The 21,703-nt window shown below is 42.4% G+C and overlaps 1 long non-coding RNA gene across 1 annotated transcript, besides 1 other annotated feature; it reads left to right on the forward strand.

Moving 5' to 3' along the window:
* Positions 9,587-9,926: an enhancer, noted in NCBI's record as "active region_3719". NCBI's record gives its function as "activates an Ori minimal core promoter by ATAC-STARR-seq in GM12878 lymphoblastoid cells {active_cell/tissue: GM12878}" and the evidence as "EXISTENCE:reporter gene assay evidence [ECO:0000049][PMID:35858748]".
* On the forward strand, positions 15,385-20,716 carry LOC105378416 (uncharacterized). Its single transcript, XR_946178.3, has 3 exons — positions 15,385-15,502; positions 16,056-16,133; positions 17,032-20,716. It is a non-coding gene; the product is annotated as an uncharacterized LOC105378416 (long non-coding RNA).
* The last annotated feature ends 987 nt before the right edge of the window (positions 20,717-21,703 follow it).

Here is a 21,703-nt window from a genome sequence, read left to right on the forward strand (position 1 = left end):
CACGAGAAGCAGTACGGCATAAAACAATGAATTCAGAAAGGAGGCAAGGGTCCAGTGCAATGTTGTCTTAGGAAATTGGAAACAGCATTGAATCAAAAGAGTGGGTCCAGAGAAACCTGATTGTCCCCAATGGCCTCTTATACTAAAGGGAAATAAAAAATTGGAAAGAAAGGACAGACACTGGAGAATGAATCCTATTTCCTGTGTGCTGCAGGTTGAAGAAGCAGGAGAGCTGTGGGCTGGGGAGTCCTCTCTTGTGTGTGATCATGCCACCTGGGTTGGTCACACTGGCCTAAGGAACTTTCCCGATACCCCAGGATGCTCTCTTCAGATGACCCCAGGAATTTACCAAATTCAAGGAGTTGTCTTTGCTTCCCCAGTTTGGTTTTAAGAATGTGAATGTGGATTATAATTCCTTCTATTACTCAAATACTAGTCATCATCAGGAGAGATGGCTTCATATACTAGATAGCTATATATTCTATGTCTCCTCGGCAAAACTGAATATGTTTATTAGCAAGTAAATAGCACTGATTTAAAGAACTCAGCATTTTAAAAATTCTTTAATACTTTAATTTGAAGGATAAAGCAACAATATTAAAGATAATTTTGAAAATAGAATAAAAAAATCATGACTCTGCCAGCTTAAATTTCTGTTTTATTTTTATATATTAGATTTTATTGTTTTCCTTCTCATACAGACTTTTTTCATTATTTTAATCATAGAGCGTATTCCATTAGGTATATCATGGACCTGAGAATGTGCATCTACTTTTTTAATAATTATTCCTTTAATGGTTTATGTAGGAGGGGATAATATAGGTCCCTCTTAGAAATGGAGAATGAGTGGCTCTCAGGGACAGTTAATAATGATGTGACATTATTTGCTAAATCATGTCCCTATTGGTGATTGTTAACAGTTTTATGCAATTGTAGATTATCCTGTGTAGCAGCTAAGAAGTGCTTATAGCTACTAGAAATAGAGGCTCACCTATAGTATCTTAAACACATTAAAAAAAAAAAGCCAAATGTACTCTGTTCAGGGCTGGTCTGGTGTTGCAAGAAGGCATCAGCGGCCTAGCCTTCATTCGTTTTTCAAAAAGGGAGGTTTGCCATGCTTTTTGCATTGCTTTCAAGTTTAAAGTCACAATATGGTGCTGCTTGCACGATAGCCATAATGTCTGAATTTTAGGCAAGAAATGGGAAAAAGAGGGGAGGCAAAAGATTCCCTTTTCAACCTCCACCCACACTCTTTTCCCTTTAAAAGAACCTCCCCAAAAGTTTCATGTCAAATAGGTTCATTAGCTGTGGCATTGGGTAAGTTACAAAAACTCTTTGAGACTCAGTTTCTTAATTTCTATACAGAGAGTAATAATGTCTACCTCACTGGGTGTATGTGAAAGAACACTGCTAATCCAAAAAACGCTGTGCAATTTCAAGAGTTAAAATAACACTTGTAGTCCAATGCAGGCTGCAATAACTGAAATATTTCATATGCCTGTGTTCTTGCTGCAGAAGAACACATTGCAGTCATTTAAGATCACCCCCTTTCCCCACCCTAGAGTGCATTTAGGAAGGAGAGAAAGCAGAACTAGACCATGTTTGGTTAATGTCAAAGGGAAGTTTGAAAGCTACGAGATTCCAGGCAGTGGTAGAAGTAATGAAACCCCAAAGTCTCTCTGTGTTTCTTGCTGCCCTTGCTGTCTTGGAGGGGAATGTTACGCAGTGGAAATGGGACACTCCTAAGTTCAGAGGGAAACAGTCTTGACACAGGTGGTTCCCCAAGAACCTACAGGCCTCCAAGCCAATGGGCAAACTCCCCCATGGGTGGAGTGGCCCTTGTCTCAGTATCAAAAAATTGTAATCTCTCTGAGGGTAGGGACCCTATCTCTATTCACCTCTTTATCCAATGCCTGACACCTAGAAATCCTCAGTAAAAATCTATTTATTAATTCTGCCCCACCTATAAGACCGGCTCTGAACACTGAGAGTCAGCCTTGCGAGTGACCTACTTAAGTCCTCCTGACCCTCAGCCCCCATTGCTGACTGCAGCTAAGAAGAAATACCTTGGGTTGGTGCATATTTTGGAATAAAAATAGTTATAATGATAGTTATAGCTTAACCTATTGAGCGTTTACTGTGTGTAGGCACTTAGTACTTTACATATTGTAACTCACTGAATCCTTCCTTCTACCTTACAATAATAGTAGGTATAATGCTCATTCCGCAGAAGAGGAAACATGCTCAGATAGGGCAAGTAATTTGTCTAAGGTCACAAAGCTAAGAAAATGAGAAACCAGCTCAAAATTATTAAATCTGAACATAGATTTTCTTGGGAAATTACTGTTAAATTTCTCAAATAGATTGTAAGTGACCTTTAGAGACCTTCATTTCACTTACTTCATTTATTTATACATGACCCACCTAAGGCAAAGCATTTAGTTTCTTTAAGCGCAAGTTTCGTCATCTGAAGAATGGACAAATAATAATACCACCTCCCCCACCCCACCCCAGAGTTTCTGTGAGGATTAAATGAGATAATGCATATGCAGTGCCTGGCCCATAGTAGATGTTCAGTATATTTTTTACCATCATTTGTTAATTTGACAAGTAGTCAAATTAGTGATGCACATCAGAATCATCAGTGGAAACTTTTCAAATATTGAGGTCTGGGTCCCAAAGTGGGGTATTTTGAAAAGTTCCCCAAGTGATTCTGATTCACATTCCCTTATGAGAATCACTGCTGAATGTGACCAATATTCATTAAGGAAGCATTTTGCTCAAGGCATTTTGCTGTGTGCTAAGAGAGGTGTCAGATGCACAATAATGGCAAAAGTCACATAAAAATAAGTAAATTACTATGAGAGATGAGTGAGTCCTCCTGCAGCAATCAGGAAAGTCCTCATAGAGGCAATCACAGTGGGCTGGGCTTGAAGGCACAGCAGGGTTAGCTTGCCAAGAATGGTGGCAGGGCAGTGAGTGAAGGTAAGTGGCATGATGGTGCAAATAATGTCACTGGTGCCACTACTGGCTGGGACATGGAGTCTGGGGAGAGTCGGGAGATGAAGCCAGGTGGTTGGCTGCAGTCAGAGAATGGAAGCTCTTGGACTTCTGACCAGTTGGGTTTGCACTGCATTTAGAGGACCACGACAAGCCATTAAGATTTTCTGAGCCAGAGAGGGAAATGCTCAGAACTATCCTTTCACCTGTTAAGTCTGGCACTCAAATAAATTAGAAAGTATAGAACCCAAAGGCAAGAAATGAGCAAGGCCAGAGACATCTGTTGCATCAGCCCAGGCCTCAGAATAGGAGCTTGGACTAGGCAGGGTACTGACAGGTGGTTAGGCTAAAGGAACAACTATATAAACCTGGAGACTGAATTAGCTGTTGGGGGAGGGGTGGTGAGAGGAAGAAGAAGTGAAGATGACTTTGAGATTTGAGCCTGCGTGATGGGAAGAACAGCACTGTGACCAGAAAAAGGGAAGTGGGGGTATGAGCTGGGTGGGGGGAGGGAAGATGATGAGCTGAATGTGTTGAGCTGGAGATGCCTGGGCACAAGGTACACATATCTAGGAGTTAGGTGGCACTGTGGAGCTTAAAGGAGAGATCAGGGCTACACACAAACAAATAAATAGAACACAAAGTGAGTCAGCTGCACTGAGGGGTGTCGCTTCAGCCTTGGCAATGGTAGAACTCTGTGGGAAGGAGAGTAGAGCAGGGATTCTTAACCAAAGATCTGTGGATAGGATTTTTGTTTGAGGGTGTCTGTGAACTTTTTAACATTTTAAGCAGAATATTACTATGTATATTAAAAAGCCCACAATCTCATTGGATAAGTTACTCTAAACAAGGTTAAAACCTACTAATATATATATAGGAGAGGTGGGCTGAGATGCTTCTCATGGAATTTTCACATCGTAGGTAGGAACAAAATATTCCAGCCAATCTCTGCAGTCTTGACTGTCATACCTCAGACTGTGGTGGCTGTTTTATTATTATTTTTTTTAATCAGGGCCAGACTGTTTGGTCAAGATTGTCTTAAAAATGTTTCTTCTTTCCAAGATATTCAATGGGGAAAGAATAATCTTTCCACAAGTGTGGTGAGATAAGTGGATATCCACATGCAAAAGTATCCATCTGGACCCTCTGACTCTCACTAAATACAAAAGTTAACATAAAATTGGTCAAAGACCTAACTGTAATAGCTAAAACTATAAAACTCTTAGAAGGCAACATCCTCAAAGACATAATTTTTGTGACCTTAGTTTGGCCAATGATTTCTTAGATATGGCACCTGAAGCCCAAGCAACCAAAGAATAAACTGAACGTCATCAAAAATTCAACTTTTGTGTTTCAGGGACACTATCAAGAAAGCAAACAGACAACCCATAGAATGGTAGAAAATATTTATAAATTATATGTCTGATAAGAATCTAGAATATGTAAAGAACTTTTACAATTCAACAATAAAAAAATACAGTTAAAAATAGGCAAAGGATTTGAATAAACATGTATCCAAACAAAATATAAAACAGGCCAATAAGCACATGAAAATATGCTCAACATCATTAGCCATCAGAAAAATACAAATGAAAACCACAATGAGATACTACTTCACATTCACTAGAATGGCAATTGTCATCATGATCATCATCATCATCAGATAATATCATGTGTTGGCAAGGATGTAGAGAAACTGAAATCCTCTTACATTGCAGGTAGAGAGGTAAAAATGGTACAGCTACTTTAGAAAAACAATTTGGCAGTTTTTCAAAAAGTTAAATATAGAGTTACCTATGACCCAGAAATTTTGTTTTTAGGTATATAACCAAGATAATTGAAAACACATGTTTACACAAATAATTATATGCAAATATTTATAGCAGCATCATTCATAATAACCAGAAATAGAAACAACCTAAATGTCCACTAATTGATGAATGAATAAATAAAATGTGGCATATCAACACATATGGAATATTATTTAGCCATAAAGAGGAATGAAGTACTGATACATGCTACAACATGGGTGAGCCTTGAAAATATCATGCTAAGTGAAAAAAGCCAGACATAAATGGCAACATATTATATAATCCCATTTAAATTAAATATCTAGAATAGGTAAATCCATAGAGACAAAAAGTAGATTAGTGGTTGTCAGGAGCTGGGGGAGGAGAGGAGTTGGGAACAATAGCTAATGGGTACAGAGCTTCTTTTTGGGGTGATGAAAATATTCTGGAATTAGATAATGGTGATGGCTGCTCAAACTTGTGAATATACTAAAAACTACAGGTGGATTTTATGGTATGTGAAATTATACATCAATAAAAAATTTCTTCTGTCTTCTCAGTTTTTGGTTGTCCTTATTTGGGATGAAAATAATGTCCATTATCCAAGAAGAAGGAAGAGCATGAACAGTTACAGAGGAGGAAAAGTAAAGACAGTTGTTAGGGAATGGTAGATTTGGATGGAACATAGGTGTATGTATGGGAGAATCAGGAGAGGAAGCTGAAAAGGTTAAGTTAGGACCAGAATAGTAAGTAAGTTGGTCAGTCACTGGGTGAGTCACAAATATTTGAGGACTTACTCAGTGTCAGCCACTGTTCTGGATATGTGAACAAAAAGACCTGGTCCCCACCAACACAGGGTTGAGCAGTCTAGCTCTGGTGACATTAAACAAATACTTAAGAAATCATGAGGGTGTGAAGGGTGGGAAGTTGAGAGTGCCATAGGAACATGTTATGGGGGAGGCTACTTGGTGTGAGGGAATCCTGGAATGTTTTCCAAAGGAGCAGTTAGAGGTGAGAAGGGTCTAACTTGCTAGTGGATTTTAACCAAATAAGTAGGCAACTGGGAGCCCTTTAAAGGGGTCATGGCTGGTGAGATACATAATCAGAGCAGTGCCATAGGAAGATTTAGCCCGTCATGGTTCTTAAACTCACCATACAAGCCTTTTTGGGGTGGCAGTCTTGCTGAAACACCATGTACTGCCAGCAAAGCAGGGGAAAGACGAACCTTCCTCCAAAAGTGAAGGTTTGTGTGCTGTGTTTAGAGGACCTCTCTGGTATGCTTGCTCATCTTTCCAGAAGTTACTGGAGAAACGACACCAGTGACCTTTCATGAGAAGATGATGGACTAGCACAGCAGCCCTCTCTTCCTACTCATCATGGAAAGCAACTAACCAAGGGACTTTCTTGGTTTATTTATTTACTTTTTGGTCAGGCAGATAGAAAAGTCATCATATAGCTTCAAGTTTCAGGGTTACTTCTTCACCTTTAATTTGCCCCAATGGGAATTGTCAAAAAGAAGTAAATCATGACATATATATCCTTTAAGTGTGTGTGTGTGTACCTGTGTCAGGGAGAGTTGGAGAACAGAGCATTGAAAACAATATTGTTAAATACACACACTGTATATCATATATTAAATATTTGTTACATATATTTAACAGTATCATTCTCTCCTTCCCCACCATATATATATTCATTCATTTATCATTGCCCTTTCTTATAGAAAGGTCTCTAAGTTCTAGTCACAACAAGACTGAAAAAAGACGCAGAGGCTGAAAAAAGCAGAACTGCAGCCTTGAACCTCATGCTTTACTGACTGGCCATAGTGTTACCCTTGATGTAAAGACTAAGTTTTAGTTTTGATGTCCAAAGGTGAAGGGAGTGTTTGTCCTTCTGACCCGGAGCACAGCTTCCTAAAATTGTTCTCTTGACTCTTGGAGGAGGATCCACTGGAGTTCACTACTGGCCACTTCCACAGCAAGATATTTAAAAAAAAATTTTTTTATTTCCATAGGTTATTGGGGAACAAGTGCTGTTTGGTTACATGAGTAAGTTCTTTAGTGGTGATTTATGAGATTTTGGTGCATCCATCACCCGAGCAGTATACACTGCACACAATTTATAGTCTTTTATCCCTCACCCCCTTCCCACCCTTTCCCACGAGAGTCCCCAAAGTCCATTGTGTCATTCTCACGCCTTTGCATCTTCATAGCTTAGCTCCCACTTATGAGTGAGAACATAACGATGTTTGGTCTTCCATTCCTGAGTGACTTCACTTAGAATAATAGTCTCCAATCTCATCCAGGTCCTGCGAATGCCGTTAATTCATTCTTTTTTATGGATGAGTAGTATTCCATCATACTACTCACACCACAGTTTCTTTATCCACTCATGGATTGAAGGGCATTTGGATTTGTTTCATGTTTTTGCAATTGTGAATTGTGTTGCCATAAACATGCGTGTGCAAGTGTCTTTTTTGTATAATGACGTCTTTTCCACTGGGTAGATACCCAGTAGTGGGATTGCTAGATCAAATGGTAGTTCTACTTTCAGTTTTTTAAGGCATCTCCACACTGTTTTCTATAGTCATTGTACTAGTTTACCTTCCCACCAGCAGTGTAGGTGTGTTCCCTGTTCACCACATCCATGCCAACATCTATTATTTTTCTATTTTTTGATTATGGCCATTCTTATAGGAGAAAGGAGCCAAAGACTTTTAATTCTTGTCCCACGATCAGTGGTTCTCAAACATGGGGATAAGAATCCACCTGGGGAGCTTATCAAAATGCAATCCTGGCTGGGTGTGGTGGCTCACAACTGTAATCAAAGCACTTTGGGAGTCCGGGGCGGGTTGATCTCTTGAGCTCAGGAGTTCGAGACCAGTCTGGTCAACATGGTGAAACCCCATCTCTACTACAAATATAAAAAAATCAGTCAGGCGTGGTGGTGCATGTCTATAGTCCCAGCTACTTGGGAGGCTGAGGCATGAGAACTGCTTGAACCTGGGATGCGGAGGCTGCAGTGAGCCGAGATCACGTCACCACACTCCAGCCTGAGCGACAGAGTGAGATTCTGTCTCAAAACAAAAAAAAAAAGAAAAAAGAAAGAAAGAAAAGAAAAGAAACATGCAATTCTCTCTCCCAGATCTTTCTTCTGACTTAAGTAGGTAAGGGTGAAACCTTGAGATGTGCATTTTGGAGAGAATCCATGATCCCCCTACAGACGCCCACTTTAGGAAGCTCTGCTCTGGTTCCATGCCACCATGCAAGGTTGGCCTAACGCAGCGGCAGCAGGACTATCGTGAAGTCAGGTTTAGAATTAAATCCTGGCTTAGCAACTTGCAAACTGTGTGACAGTAGCCAAGTTACTTAGCCTCTCTGAGCTTCGTTTTCCTCATTTTCCATAAGGGGATAATAATATCCACACAAGTTGCCGTCCCAGATTTCATTTAACATAGGTCCCTTCACTGCCCTATCTCACTAGTTTGACTCATTTAGAGATTATAGGCATAATGTCAGGGAGAGGGGAGGGATTTGAGGGAAAAGAGAACTTCAAAAAAAATTTTTTTAAGCTTCTTAAATCCTACCTCATAGGAGGAAAAAAAGACAACAAAACACCATTATTAAGGGCTGACCATGTGCTAGGCCTTGTCAGTGCTAAGAAGAGTACTTTTCAGATCCAATGTAACTCAACGCTTCACTCACTTCACAGACTCTCCCCTGGGCCCTGTGGTTGGGCTTCCTGTTTCCACATCAAAATTTAGTTCAATGAGCATTTGTGAAGGGCCAGCCAGGCACCAGGCTCTATGGGAGGTCCTGAGTGGGTGAGAGGACACAAATGTGGATGACAGGTAGGCCTGGGCTCAGGGAGCTCTCCATCTACTGAGGGACACAGGTCTGGGTATAACTACAATATGGACCAAGTACTGTGGGAGCTCAGGGGAGGGAGAGACTAATTCCAACAGATGAAAAAGAAGGAAAAAATTCCATTGGGCAAGAGTTCTCATGACCAACATTTGATTGCAGGCTCCTTAAAGATGGGCTATTTTTTTTCCCTGTTGACTCTTCAGAGTGTCCTGAAAAGCCTTGGGCCCTGTGGCTCCTTGATGAGTTCATTAGACTCACTGACAAGTCCTGCAGACCTTTGCTTCTTGATGCCAGCTGTGTGCTGCTCTCTGAAGCTCCTTCTTTCACACCAAACAACAGTTTCCAGGGCTGGTGGGCGTTGGACAGTCTGGAGCGATTCTTGACTTGATTTACTAATACATACTATTGCAAGAAAACCTTTGTGAAAGTAGCCACCATCCTGTCTGCCTTTTTATTCTGAAGCTCCTCTTGCTCTCCCAGCCCCATGTTCTCATGCACACTGTCACAGTGAGTTGTTTAAGTGCTCAGATGTTATTACTTCCTGGGTAATCTACTTGGAGAGTTAAAGTTTGGCCTGTGGCCTGGGCTAGGCATTCCTTTTTCCTAGGATTGACTTTCTGGAAAGGAGGGTGATCCAGCCTGTTGGACTGAGCACAGCACTTTGAGAAAAGGGGAGCTTAGGAATGGAGCCCAGAGGAAGCCCCCTGGTTAGGAGGAGTTGTTTATTTTAGCTGTCAGGATGGCAAAGATGGTTTCTATTTGGCCTGCCCTGTTGTACTTACTGGCTGCTATTGGTTCATTTTGTTTGAAAAAAAAAAAAGGAAAGGAAAGTGGCTGATTGTTGAAGAAGCTTTCGTTCAATGGGAAAAAGTGCTTCTACCTTACAACAGGAAAAGCGTCAGCAATGGCAGGAGAAAGCAAAGTGGGCCATCTCTTCATGGAGCCATCTGGTGGCTCTTCGCTGTAAGCACCACTCCTGGAGTCTCCTGTGTGGGTGCAGAGCTCACTCCATGCATCTCTTCTCGGAGAAGTGGCCTCCTCCAGTGCAGGAAGGAAACTCCTCTCCGCCACGGTGCACCAGATGGCTGCCCACTTTGATTGGCTTCATCATGGCTTTCAGGGACCTGCAGGACCTGCCCCTGGGCTTTGTTCTCAGCCTCTACTCCAGATGCGCTTCTCCAGCTCCACCCCACCTGCCTGCCCCCTGCCCTCCTAGGGCCTTTGCATTTCCTCCCCTCTGCTCAGGATGCCTTTCTCCAACGTCTTCTTAAGGCTGATTCCTTCTCATTGCTTCTATTGCAACTCAGAGGAGCCTTCCTCAGAGAGGCCTTCCTTGACCACTCTTCCTAAAGCAGGCCCTGTCCCAAGTCACTGTTCGTGACAAGTGTCGGCTTTATTTTACTCATAGGATACTTAGTGGCATCTAAATCCTATTCATTCATGTTCTTCCCTCTTGTTTATTGCCTGTGTTAAATGCAAGAGAACAAAGCCTTATCTGATTATTTTATCTCTGTCTCCCTAACATCAAGAAAAGTACCTGGCTTGTACTGAATGTTCAGTAAATATATGCGAAAAAATGAATGAAACTAAAGACATAAAACATAGAAAGGGAGGTGCTTTAGAGCCCAGATATGTCTGTCTGAGGCTGTGCTGGACTCCTCCTCATTCCCTCTGTTTCTCCCTAGATAACAATCTATGGAAGGGGCTATTTCTCTGGCTAGCATCCATTTTTCTCTGGGATTCTATTCTGGTTGGCAGGAATTTGGTTCTTCCCACCATCAAACCCTCCCGGGTCTCTTTCTTGGTTCAGTTTTTCCTAATGTACATTCACACTCTTTAATAGCTTTAACAGTGACTGTTTATAGGGGGGAAGCTGTCTTCCAACTTTGAGGTGCTATGATTTTTAGACATTTCCAAATATTCTATATAAAACACAGAACCATCAAGAGAAATTCATACCTCATCTGATCACAATCTCCTGGTTAACTTCCTTCACTGTGGACAGCGCTTGGCCTGCATATCCACACTCCTTTGCAGCCAGCAGCTGCCTCTTCTCTTGATGCTGCCTTTTCGTTGCCTAGCCAGGAACCAAGGCTCTATCTGCCCAAGGCTCTATCTGCTCTATCTTTAGAGAAGAGCCCTCAGATTCCAGGGAGCAGCAGCTCATTTTTAGTGAGGTTTCCCCTGTACCTGGGCTGGTCAAATATTCTCCCTCGGCCTTTTCTTCAAGATTTTTTTTTCCACTCGTGTGTGTGTGTGTGTGCATTCACACACATGTGCATGGCCATTGCACCCCACATAGAGCCCCAGCCTCATCCAAATTGCTGGTTCTTCTCTTCATTATTCTCTCTTTTTCTCATCCTCATCCTTCCTGGATTCTTCCAACAAATTCCAAATTTCTTTCCCATTTGGTATTTAGAAAACATAAGCTTGAACCACCAACTCAATACACTGTGAGCATCTCACAATTTCTCCAAATTCCTTGGGGATTACTGTCTTGTAATCACTCCTGGCTTCTAACTCCTGCTTTTTAAATTTGTGGCTCTATGCTTTCTGTTGTTCTAATCCATGTTGACTCATACCTGAAATTGAGCCTCTTCCCTGAGTTCACCAACACAAACAAAAATCCCCACTTATTCATGAAAGTTTGCAGAGAAGATTTTAGAGTAGACTTAAGAGGAGGATGGAGACGGTCTTATTGCAACAGCACACAGCCACATATGAAAATAGTCATCCAAGTTCTGCCTTCCCATCCCTGAGATTTTTCACTGGCCATTGCACCCCACATAGAGCCTCAGCCTCATTCAAATTGCTGGTTCTTCTCTCCAGCCTTCTCTCTTTTTTCTCATCCTCATCCTTCCTGGGTTCTCCTGACAAATTCCAATTTTTCTTTTTAGTTATGCGGAGCAATTCAACTCTTCCCTGCCTTTCTTTCCACATCTTGCTCTGGGTCCATTTTGCATATCCAAACTCATCAAGGTACGCAGCAGATTCAAAGGGTTTCTTATTTATGAAGAGCTGCTCTCCATGGAAGGCAATTGTGGTTTAAGCAGCATTTCCTTCTCCTTTGTAAGCAAGTTATTCAAGAAAAGGCCAATAGGAACTGATGCCCTGTGTGTCATCCAAATAAAGAATCCACAAAATACCAAAACTAGGAGTGGCTTTTCTGAGGACCTACTCATTGTCTACTTACTGTCTATTTTGAGAGGGCAAATGGCTCAAAGAATCCTATGAGCCACTGAAATCAAACTGACAAAGCTTTTAGAGTCACTTTGCCTCCATAGGGCAACTAAGAGCCCCTGAGCTCTGTTTGCCCTTCTACTGGGGGTGTCTTTCCATCCTGGGTGAACTAGCAGTTTTCATGAGCTTTTCTCAGCATGAAACTTATTAAAAACAAAACAAAACAAAGAAAAGAAATCATCTTTCCACCTTTTGCACTGGCAGCGGTAGAGCTGTGTTGGCAAGGGAAGATTTACTGGGCCTGGAGTTGTTCTTGGAGCAGGTTGCTCTGTGGAGGGAATCTAGGAGTGAGAAAGAAATCAGAGTCATAGAATGTGCCAGTGGAGGGGTCCTCAGACAGCCCACAGAGAAGCGCCTCCCTTTGTAGCTGAGGAATCCTAAGCCCAGAGCAGTGAAGCGACTTATTTGCCCAAGGTCACACATCAAGGCTGTGTAATTTATGGTTCATTGTTCAATCTGGCTAGGGAAGTAGGAGCCCCTTGGTCTGCCCTGGCTGCAGAAATAGGCCCACATAAGGGGTGTCGGGGCTGCTTTAGAAAACCCACAGCACTTTGAATCAAGGAAAAATGAGTCAATTGGTTCTTCTTCTTCATTCTTGAACTTTAAAAATCTGAGTTGCGGTTCAGTATTTGAGGTGGTATGTGCATTTGGCTGAGGGGGCGGAAGGTGACAGGGAGGATTCAGAAGATGGTGATTAGGTTCTTTGAGATGTCTGGGGGAGGAGGAAGAGCACGGAAGGAGGTGGGTTCCTCCCTAGTAGTGGAAAAAGAAATGTAAGTGGGTCAATTTGATGTCAGCTCTTGCCCTTCTAGACTGCAATGAAAAGAATATGCAGTCAAGTTTTTCTTTGGCAGAATGACTGCTATGTACACTGGAATCAGAGAAAAAAAATGTTGCATAGGATGGTTTGTAGTAGAGAATCTGTTGTGACCAATTTAATTCAGCTCAACAAGAAATTGTCAAGCAGTGATTATACACCCATCACAAGGTCAGATGTCTTGTGGGGAGCAGGAAGAAAGGCTCTCCAGTATCACTATATCCAAGACCTGACAGTCTTATTAAGAAATTGAGACCCACCTACATGGAACAGATAAAAAATTGGATTCAATAGCTTAAATGCCAAAAGTCTTGGTACCGAAAATGTGTATTCTGGAAAGTTATGAGGAAAGGGGTTGGGGGAGGGGTCATGAGGAAGTGAAACCTGAGCCAGAGTGAAAGCTGTTTGTTTTGGGGACTGTGTCTTCTTCTGTGTTTTCACTAGAGAGAGGCTTTGTCCATAATAGGTGCTCACTAAAAACCTCCTCAGTGATGGAGGGAAAGTAGGTGGGCAAAAACAGAAGAGAAGATGCAGAGGTGGTCCAGAGGTTTGCAGCTGCAAAGGCCAGACAAACTTAGCAGAGCAGAGAGGGTACTTGGTAGAATTGTAGGTAGGACCAGGAGGCTGAAATGTTTTCAGATGCAGAATTTGGACTTGCTCTGTGGCCAAAGGGAAACACAGGAGAGGCAAGGGTAGGTGCTTTGGAAAGTACACGGGCCTGTGGGTGAGGATGATGTGGGTGCTATACTGGGCTCTGCCCTGATGCAGCTTTGGAGGCGCTATTGAATTCTCTTTGCCTTAGCTTTTTAACATGTCAGATACAAGGCTGGACTGTGAATTCTCTTTCATGTCTACCCTCTTAAGGAATAAATCTGAGGATGATGTGCAGGGTGGACACTTGGAGGCAGAGAAACAATTTGGTTGTGGGAATTCAGGCGCTGAAGACCTGGACCAGGGTGCTAGTAAAGGGAAAAGCAAAGGAGGGAAGGATTTGAGAAATTTGGAAGTGATTATAAGGATACCTTTAGATGTTACTTAACAGAGTAGCACAGTTTGCTTAAAGGGAAGAGAGATGTTTTAGAGGGTGGTATTTGGGGTGTGAGGTAACTGTGGGATGTCTCTGAAGCAGCTAGAAATGTAGGACTAGTGGTCGGCTGGGCAGGGCAGGCTATTTAAAAGTAGATCCTTGAAATCAGATGACATAGTTTTGAATCCTGACTCTAATGGCCCTGGGCACATGACTAGAGTAGGGTGAGCAACTCTTCCAGTGTGCATTAGGGCATTCCCAGCTTTAGCACTGAAAGTCCCATGTCTTGGGAAATTCCCCGGTCCCAGTCAAACTGGGACAGCTTGCCTGGGACCGTCCTCGTTTGAAAACCACAAGGCCTGCATGCCAGGAACTACTTTTGTGGTAGGCAAACTGGGAAAACTGGTGAAGATACTTGATCAATTTTAGCTTCAGGCTCCTCATCTGAAAAGTAAGGATAATAATATGCCTTCCTCAGAGGTTGTATGAATTAAATGAGATGATATATGTGAAGTACTCAGCATAAAGATTAGCACAAAGAAGCATAAGAGAAACATTTGTGAAAGGATGAGTTAGATGAATCCTGCAGATGAACCAGTTAGGTGCAGAGGAGATGGGTAAAGTAATCCAGTGTCAACACGGGACACCAGCAGAGTCAGCGGCTTTGTGTACAGAACTTGTAGCTGGGATTGACCTGTATTTGTGAAAGAAGGCTTGCCAAGAAAATTAGTAATGTAAACAAGGAAAATGTTAGCCCATTGAAGAGGGCAACATTTTAATAATACTTATGCTAATTATAAGTGAATAGGTACATTCCATCAAGGATTTCCAAGATTCTTTAAAGACATACATCCCTGCTTTCTGGCTCAATTGACACTGTGGCTATATGTGCTTAAATGAAATAAACCACATTTTGTTTCCATATTCATACATTCATTGGTTGAGGCACTCATTCAACAAATACTTATTGAGCATTTTTTATGTGTTAGGCACAATGCTAGGCTCTATGGAAACCACAAGAAATATAAAAAGTAGTCTGCAATCTTAGAAAATTTACTATAAAGTGGTTTTATTATACTTATTTTACTTATTTAAACATGAATCACCATTTCCCCTGCCTAATTCTTTCCCCACCAATATTGGGGACTTTTGACAGATACATATACGAATATGATTTTAATTACCTTCAAAGTTCTAGAAGCCAGAAACAGAGAAATCAGAAAGTCCCCACCAGGGCATCTTGAAGCGGTAGGACAAGAACAGGAAAGGTAGACTAGGACAGCAAAAGGACAGAGGAGGAGGGGAACTGAGAGAGAAGGGGACAGGAGCGAGGAAGGAGGGGGAAGCAGGAAGGAGGGGGGAAGCGGGAAGGAGGGGGGAAGCGGGAAGGAGGGGGAAGCAGGAAGGATGGGGGAAGCAGGAAGGAGGGGGGAAGCAGGAACGAGGGGGAAGCAGGAACGAGGGGGGAAGCAGGAGCGAGGAGGGAAGCAGGAACGAGGGGGAAGCAGGAACGAGGGGGAGCAGAAGGAGGGGGAACAAGAAGGAAAGGGAAGCAGGAAGGCGGGGGAGCAGGAAGGAGGGGAAAACAGGAAGGAGGGGGAACAAGAAGGAGAGGGGAACAGGAAGGAGGGGGAGCAGGAAGGAGGGTGAACAGGAAAGAAGGGTTTGAATGAAAGAGTCTGAGGCAGGAGAAAGTGGAGACAGCAGCAAGAGGACTGAGGAAAGAAAGGAGAAAGGAAGGAACCTGTGCATCGCGAGGCAGGTGGGGAGGGAAAGAGAACTTGAGGAGAGACAGCAATTGAGGCTGGAAGAGGCTCAGGGCTGCTGAGCCTTAGTCACCACCCAATGAATAGAAATGTTCAAATTACACACGAGGGTTGTTTTTTTTTTTCCCACAGCTAAGAGGAAACTGAGGTAAAGACCAGAGCAGAGGAGGTCTGTAATCCCACTTCAGCTCTGCCTCTCTCTCCATTTTGCCTGAGGTTAATCTGCTCCAGGCATGTGTCTGTCACCTCTTTCTGATACCACAGGAGCCAAAGATCCTGCCCTTTCTGTGTCCAGCTAAGGCTGGGTCTGCGTTGGCAGGGGCCACCTCCTCCAGGAGTCAGCAGCTCCCCTGAGCTGTGCAGGCTGCTACTTCCCCAAAGTGCTTCCCTCTCAGAACTGGCTCTGGTGCAACTTTGACAGCACCCTTCCTCCTCCTTCACCTGAAGAGGTGAAGCAGAGTCAGGGAGAACATTTGTTTTCTCCTCCTTTCTTTCATTTTTCTTCAACACTCATTCTCCCTTTCCATTTTCCTGTTTTATATATCCTAGAGGATTTCATAAAGTAAGAGATTCAAGATAAAATGCTCAACACCCTCCAAGCCTCAGAGTCCAAGAGAGGAGTTGTATGTAAGTAATCAGCTCACTTACCCTTGGAGAAGGACCAGGCTGGAAGGGCCTTCCGAGGGCATAATAGTTAGCCAAGAGCTGGGACCAGAAGGTTGAAAAATTCCATGATCCGAGCCAAGTGGTCAGATCCTCCATCAGCAAAACTCGAACGCATCTGGCTAGCCAAGCATGGCTGCCATTGTGCATCTCAGAGGCCCAGACTGGTTTATCTCTTGAGCTATGATTTCAAGGGACAAAACTATTATAGACTCTAGGCCTGAAAGGAAGCTGTGCTGCTGAATATCAATTTCTGGGCTTTAAATATATATATATAACCTATTTGAAGGATGCTAAGCTATTAAGTGCAATCAGCGAGGCAGCTCCTTTGTGAACACGCCTCTGCTGTACATCTCAGACCCTTTTGAGTCGGGGCTTCTACATTTCTGACTTGTTTTGATGCTTTGTATCATTAGACTCTTAGGATGCTTTTAGTTATTACTCGACTGCCTGGACAGTCCATATTTGGAAGAAAGTCATATAAATGGCAACTGTCCAGCATTTTCAGAGGCTCGGGGATAGCTTGGAGATGATTACATTAAATTATGCTTGCGTATCACATTATAGTTTGCAAGCACTTTCCCCATTCAGTAGCTCCCTGAATCTTGAAACAACTCTGCCAGATGGGTAGGATTATCCCCAATTTGTTGATGAGGAAATGAAGGTCTAGAGAGGTGAACCGACTAGCCAAAGTCTTACAGCCAGTGGTAGATACAGATTTCCTAACTTAAATTGTATGTTTTTCCACCAAAGCTATTGTCTGTAAATGACATACAAATGAAGACAATTATAAATATGGATTGAACTTTTACTCTTTGCCAGGCATCATGCTAAGTGCTTTAACACGCATTTTCTCATTTAGTTTTCCCAGCGGGCACCTGAAGAAATGGATATTATTATCCCCATACTACAGATGAGAAAAGTGAGACTTACTGAGATGAAGCAGCCTGCACACTGTCACATGAAGGAGTTGTAGAGACCTGTATTAGTCCATTTTCATACTGCTATAATGAACTGCCTGAGATGGGGGTAATTTATAAAGGAAAGAGGTTTAATTGACTCACAGTTCAGCATGGCTGGGGAGGCCTCAGGAAACTTACAATCATAGTGGAAGGTGAAGGAGAAGCAAGGCACCTTCTGGCAGGAAGGAAATGTGCCGAGTGAAGGGGGAAAGAGCTCCTTGTAAGGCCATCAGATCTCGTGAGAACTCTATCACGAGAACAGCATGGGGGAAACCGCCCCGATGATTCAATTACCTCCACCTGGCCTCTTCTTTGACACGTGGGGATTATGGGGATTATGAAGATTACAATTCAAGGTGAGATTTGATTTATCAAGACCTAAACCTAGCTAGTCTGATACCAGAACTGGTGTTCTTAACCCCTGATACCAAGCAGGAGAGAGAGAGAGAGCATTCAATCTGACTTGGGGCCCTGCGTTTAATTGTCTATCCATTTTCTTTGTCTCCTGTTTGAAAGTTTCCATTCCCTGGGATATCAGAAGTCCTGTTATCCAAGTCCTCTGCAGACAAAAATTAAATTGGTTGTCAGGTTTCCGGGGTTGGGGCACCAGCAGAACACAGGTTTTGGGGGAGAGAGGACAGCATAAGGCAGGGATGGAGATGGAGGAGGGGTTTCCCATTCAAGTATGGCCACAGTGACAGGGGCTGAAGGGCGTGACGGTGTCATGCACGTGCAGGGGACACAGTGCCATCCCTTCTTCCTAGCCATATGTGCTGCTCTGTCTTTTTTATAGTGCCACATATGGCACTTCCTTAATGAAATTTCTTATAATAATTTATCTGACCTGTATCATTCTGTTAGCTTTAACAAAAGAAATTCTGACAGGTTTTGATATTAAATCTAAAAATATGTTTTCAACTCACTGAGGAGCCATAAAGCAGGCTGAAATCATACTAATGATAATGGACAATCTGCTTTCTACCATCAAGTTCTGATTATTTACATGTAGCAAACCATCCAGAGATAATGTGAGCCTTGAGTCTCCTTTCAATTTTTACTAATCTTCCCGAATTTACCAAATGGGGGTAGTGGAGGCCTGAAAGAAGGCTCCCCAGGTCACCTTGGCATGCCCTTCTTGATGCCTCAGTGTGTCACATGAAGCCATCCCAGTGCAGCTGCTCATGAATCTCTGGGCTGACCCTCCTGCAGTGGGGCTGCAGGGCTGTTTCAGTTAAAAAGCTCATGGTTCAGGAAAGGGATTTGCAATCTGATTTTCACAGATGTTTCTTTTCAGGCATCTTCCCTGAAACAATCCTTGTGGCGTTCAGATGGGCAGAGTGAACAGCACTGCCCTTGAACATGGGCAGCTCCGGTAGAGCTGTGCTCTGGCCCCCTTCGTGCTATACCTCTTCCTGCAGGGCATTCAGTCTGCAGGACTGAGGGACAACATCCACTCAGAGCCCATGCCCCTCTAGACTTCAGGTGCCTGGGACCCCATATTCCTGCCCAAACAGCCCTGAACCCAACTTCACTCCCAGGTCTCTTCCTGGGTCTGACTTCCTGAGAGTCCATCCTGCTGACAGCCTGCACACTCCCTAGTTCTGAAGGGGTTTGGGAGGTTGCTGTCACAACAGCCTGTGGATGAAGTTTGGACATGTGGCCAGAGGGGTCTATCTGCATGTTAACAAGGTGCTTGCAGTGTGGGACAGAGCCAGGGGTGGCGGGAAGTGGGATGCAGCCTCAGGCTCCAGGATCCCCTCTCTCATGGGTCACGCTCACTGAGGAACTCTGAGGGGTTCTGAATTTCAACTTGGCCTTTCAGGTCATTATGAAGGTTCACTTGCCAAGGCAGGAGGATGAAACATATATTCCTCAGCAGTTTGTCAACTTGACTTACATCTGTTACACATTTAGACGTATGTCACGTGGGCCTCCATTTGTACTCTTGCTCCAGCCCATGACAATATGAGGATGGGCCTGATAGGGTGGGGACCGAGCTTGTGGACCAAACAGATGGAGTATGGGGCAGGTGGACACAAGGCTTCTTCTTGTCCCACTCTCAAGGTGATGGGTTCATGCATTTCATTGAAGAATAGGGGAAGAGGAGAACTTGGGTTCTCTCCTTGGATTTGTTATCAAGTGACTAAATATCTTGGGTAGTTCTTTTCATGGTCTCAGTTTCCTGGTCGGTTAAAGAGAGAAGAGGTAGATTAGCATTTCCCAGGGCATGTTCCTAGACAACTTGCTCTGCCAGACGACCTATGAAACAAGGATTCCATGATCAATTAAATTTAGGAAACAAATTCTTTCTTCTTTGAGAATCATAATGCAAATTTGCATAATAAAGCCTCCCATAAGTCCTGTAGCTAAAAAAAATGATTAATTTTAATTACCATAGTTTCATACACCAAAGATTTATTGAGTTCTTACTGTTTGCTAGGGACTATGCTATGTGTTTTACATGTAAATTTTATTTAACTATCACACCAGACCTATCATATAGATATTGTTAGTATTCCATTTTACAGATGTTGAAACCAGGGCTTGGAGAAGCTAGGAAACTTGCCCAGAGTCAGGAATGAAGCTTGCTATCTCTTTTGTCCAGTATAGGTCATTAAGCCATCTTATTTGTACTTTTTACCTTTGGTGGTTATCACTACAAGCTCAGAATGATCTCCTATGTACATCCTATTTATTAGAAACTATTCCTCATTATAAACATTTTTCTAAACTGAAAAAAAGATTTTGAATAATATTAAATATACAAATGACCAAAAAGCATATAAAAATATTCAATGTCATTAGTCATCAGGGAAATGCAAACTAAAACCACAGTACCATTCCATACCCACTAGGATGGCTATAATCAAAGAGCCAGAAGGGTAAGCATTGGTGAGGATGTGGAGAAACTGGAGTCATACACTGAAGGTGGGAATGTGAAATGGTGCAGTCACTTTGGAAAACATCCTTGCAGTTCCTCAAAAAGTTAAACGGAGTTACTATATGAACCAGAAATTTCATCCTAGCTATATACACAAGAGAAATGAAAATACTGTGCCCATATAAAAACTTATATATGAATGTTTATAGCAGCATTATTCATAATAGTCCAAAGGTAAAAAAACCCAAATGTCCATCAACTGATGAATAGATAAAACAAAAGATGATATGTCCATACGATGGAATATTATTCAGCCATAAAAAGGAATGAAGTAGTGATACATGCTACAACATGGGTGAGCCTTGAAAATATTATGCTAAGTGGAGGAAGCCAGATACAAAAGAACATATATCAGATTATTCCATTTAAATGAAAGATCCAGAATAGGTAAATCAATAGAGGCTGAAGATTAGTGGTTGTTTAGGGCTGAGGAGGACGGGTAGATTGGGTGGGGAGTGATAGCTAATGAATGTGGCAGTAGGGGGACTCTTTTTGTGGTAATAAAACTGTTCTAAAATTGATTGGGGTGATGATTTTATTATTCTGTGAATATACTAAAAACCATTGTTTTTTACAATTTTAATGGGTGAACTGTATGGTATGTGAATTATATCTCAATAAAGCTACACCCTTACCTCCCAAAACTCTCCGCAATATTAAAAACTATTTGAAAATGAGGTCAGCTCAATTACCCCAATATTCACAGGTTCTTATGTTTTATCTTCTCTTCTTGTCTGCATTTGCCGCGTTGAACACAGGTCCGCATGCATTCAGCTATTCACTCAAAGTGGGAAGCAGAGAGGCTAGTAGCAATGATATTTGCTCATTGGTTCCTTCACTGATTCACTCACTGATCATTCTTTTATTTTTTCATCCATCCAATGCACATCTGTTGAGCCCCTCCATATGCCAGGCACTGTGCCAGGTTCTAGGACACAGCTGTGAGAAAGATAGACAAGATCTCAGATGAAAAGGAGCTCACAGTCCACTTGGGGCAACTGAAAAGTGCACAGTCAATTGCAATGCAGTGTGATAGTGCTGACATAGAAAGCCTTGCTGTGGGGAAGGTCACGGATGCCTTCTCAAAGAAGTGATGCCTCAGATGATCACTGAGGGTGACATGTTTAGGCAATTTCTAAGGTCTCTAAACACTCAGAGCCAGGGCAGTTAGGGAGTGGGGTGAGTTAAGGTTGGAGGGGTATGTAGAGACCAGACAAAGGTGGGCCTAATGGCCATATTAAGGAGATTGTGTGGTGAGCCATTGAAGGCTTTGAAGCAGGGAATGACATATTTTAAAATTACTATAATTAAAACGTACATATTCTTTTGTATTCTCGAATGTTTCATTTTAAAAATATTTTTAATAAGTTTTGTAATTATTTTCAATGGCTGCACATGTAATCACATTGATACTCTATTTTACTGCAGTATATCTCTATTGTTGGATATTGAGGTTTTTTCCAGTTTTTGTCTCACAACCCTTCTTCTGTTTTAGTCAACATGACAATGGACATCCTTATTTTCTCATGCATATAAGCCTCTGTTCCCCATTCTGGTTAACATTGGAATGAATATTCTACTTACATAACTTTTCTAGGAGTTATTTCCAGGAGTGACTGTCAAAAAGATTG

Source organism: Homo sapiens, chromosome 10, assembly GCF_000001405.40.
Source record: "Homo sapiens chromosome 10, GRCh38.p14 Primary Assembly".
Classification (NCBI taxonomy): Eukaryota; Metazoa; Chordata; class Mammalia; order Primates; family Hominidae; genus Homo; species Homo sapiens.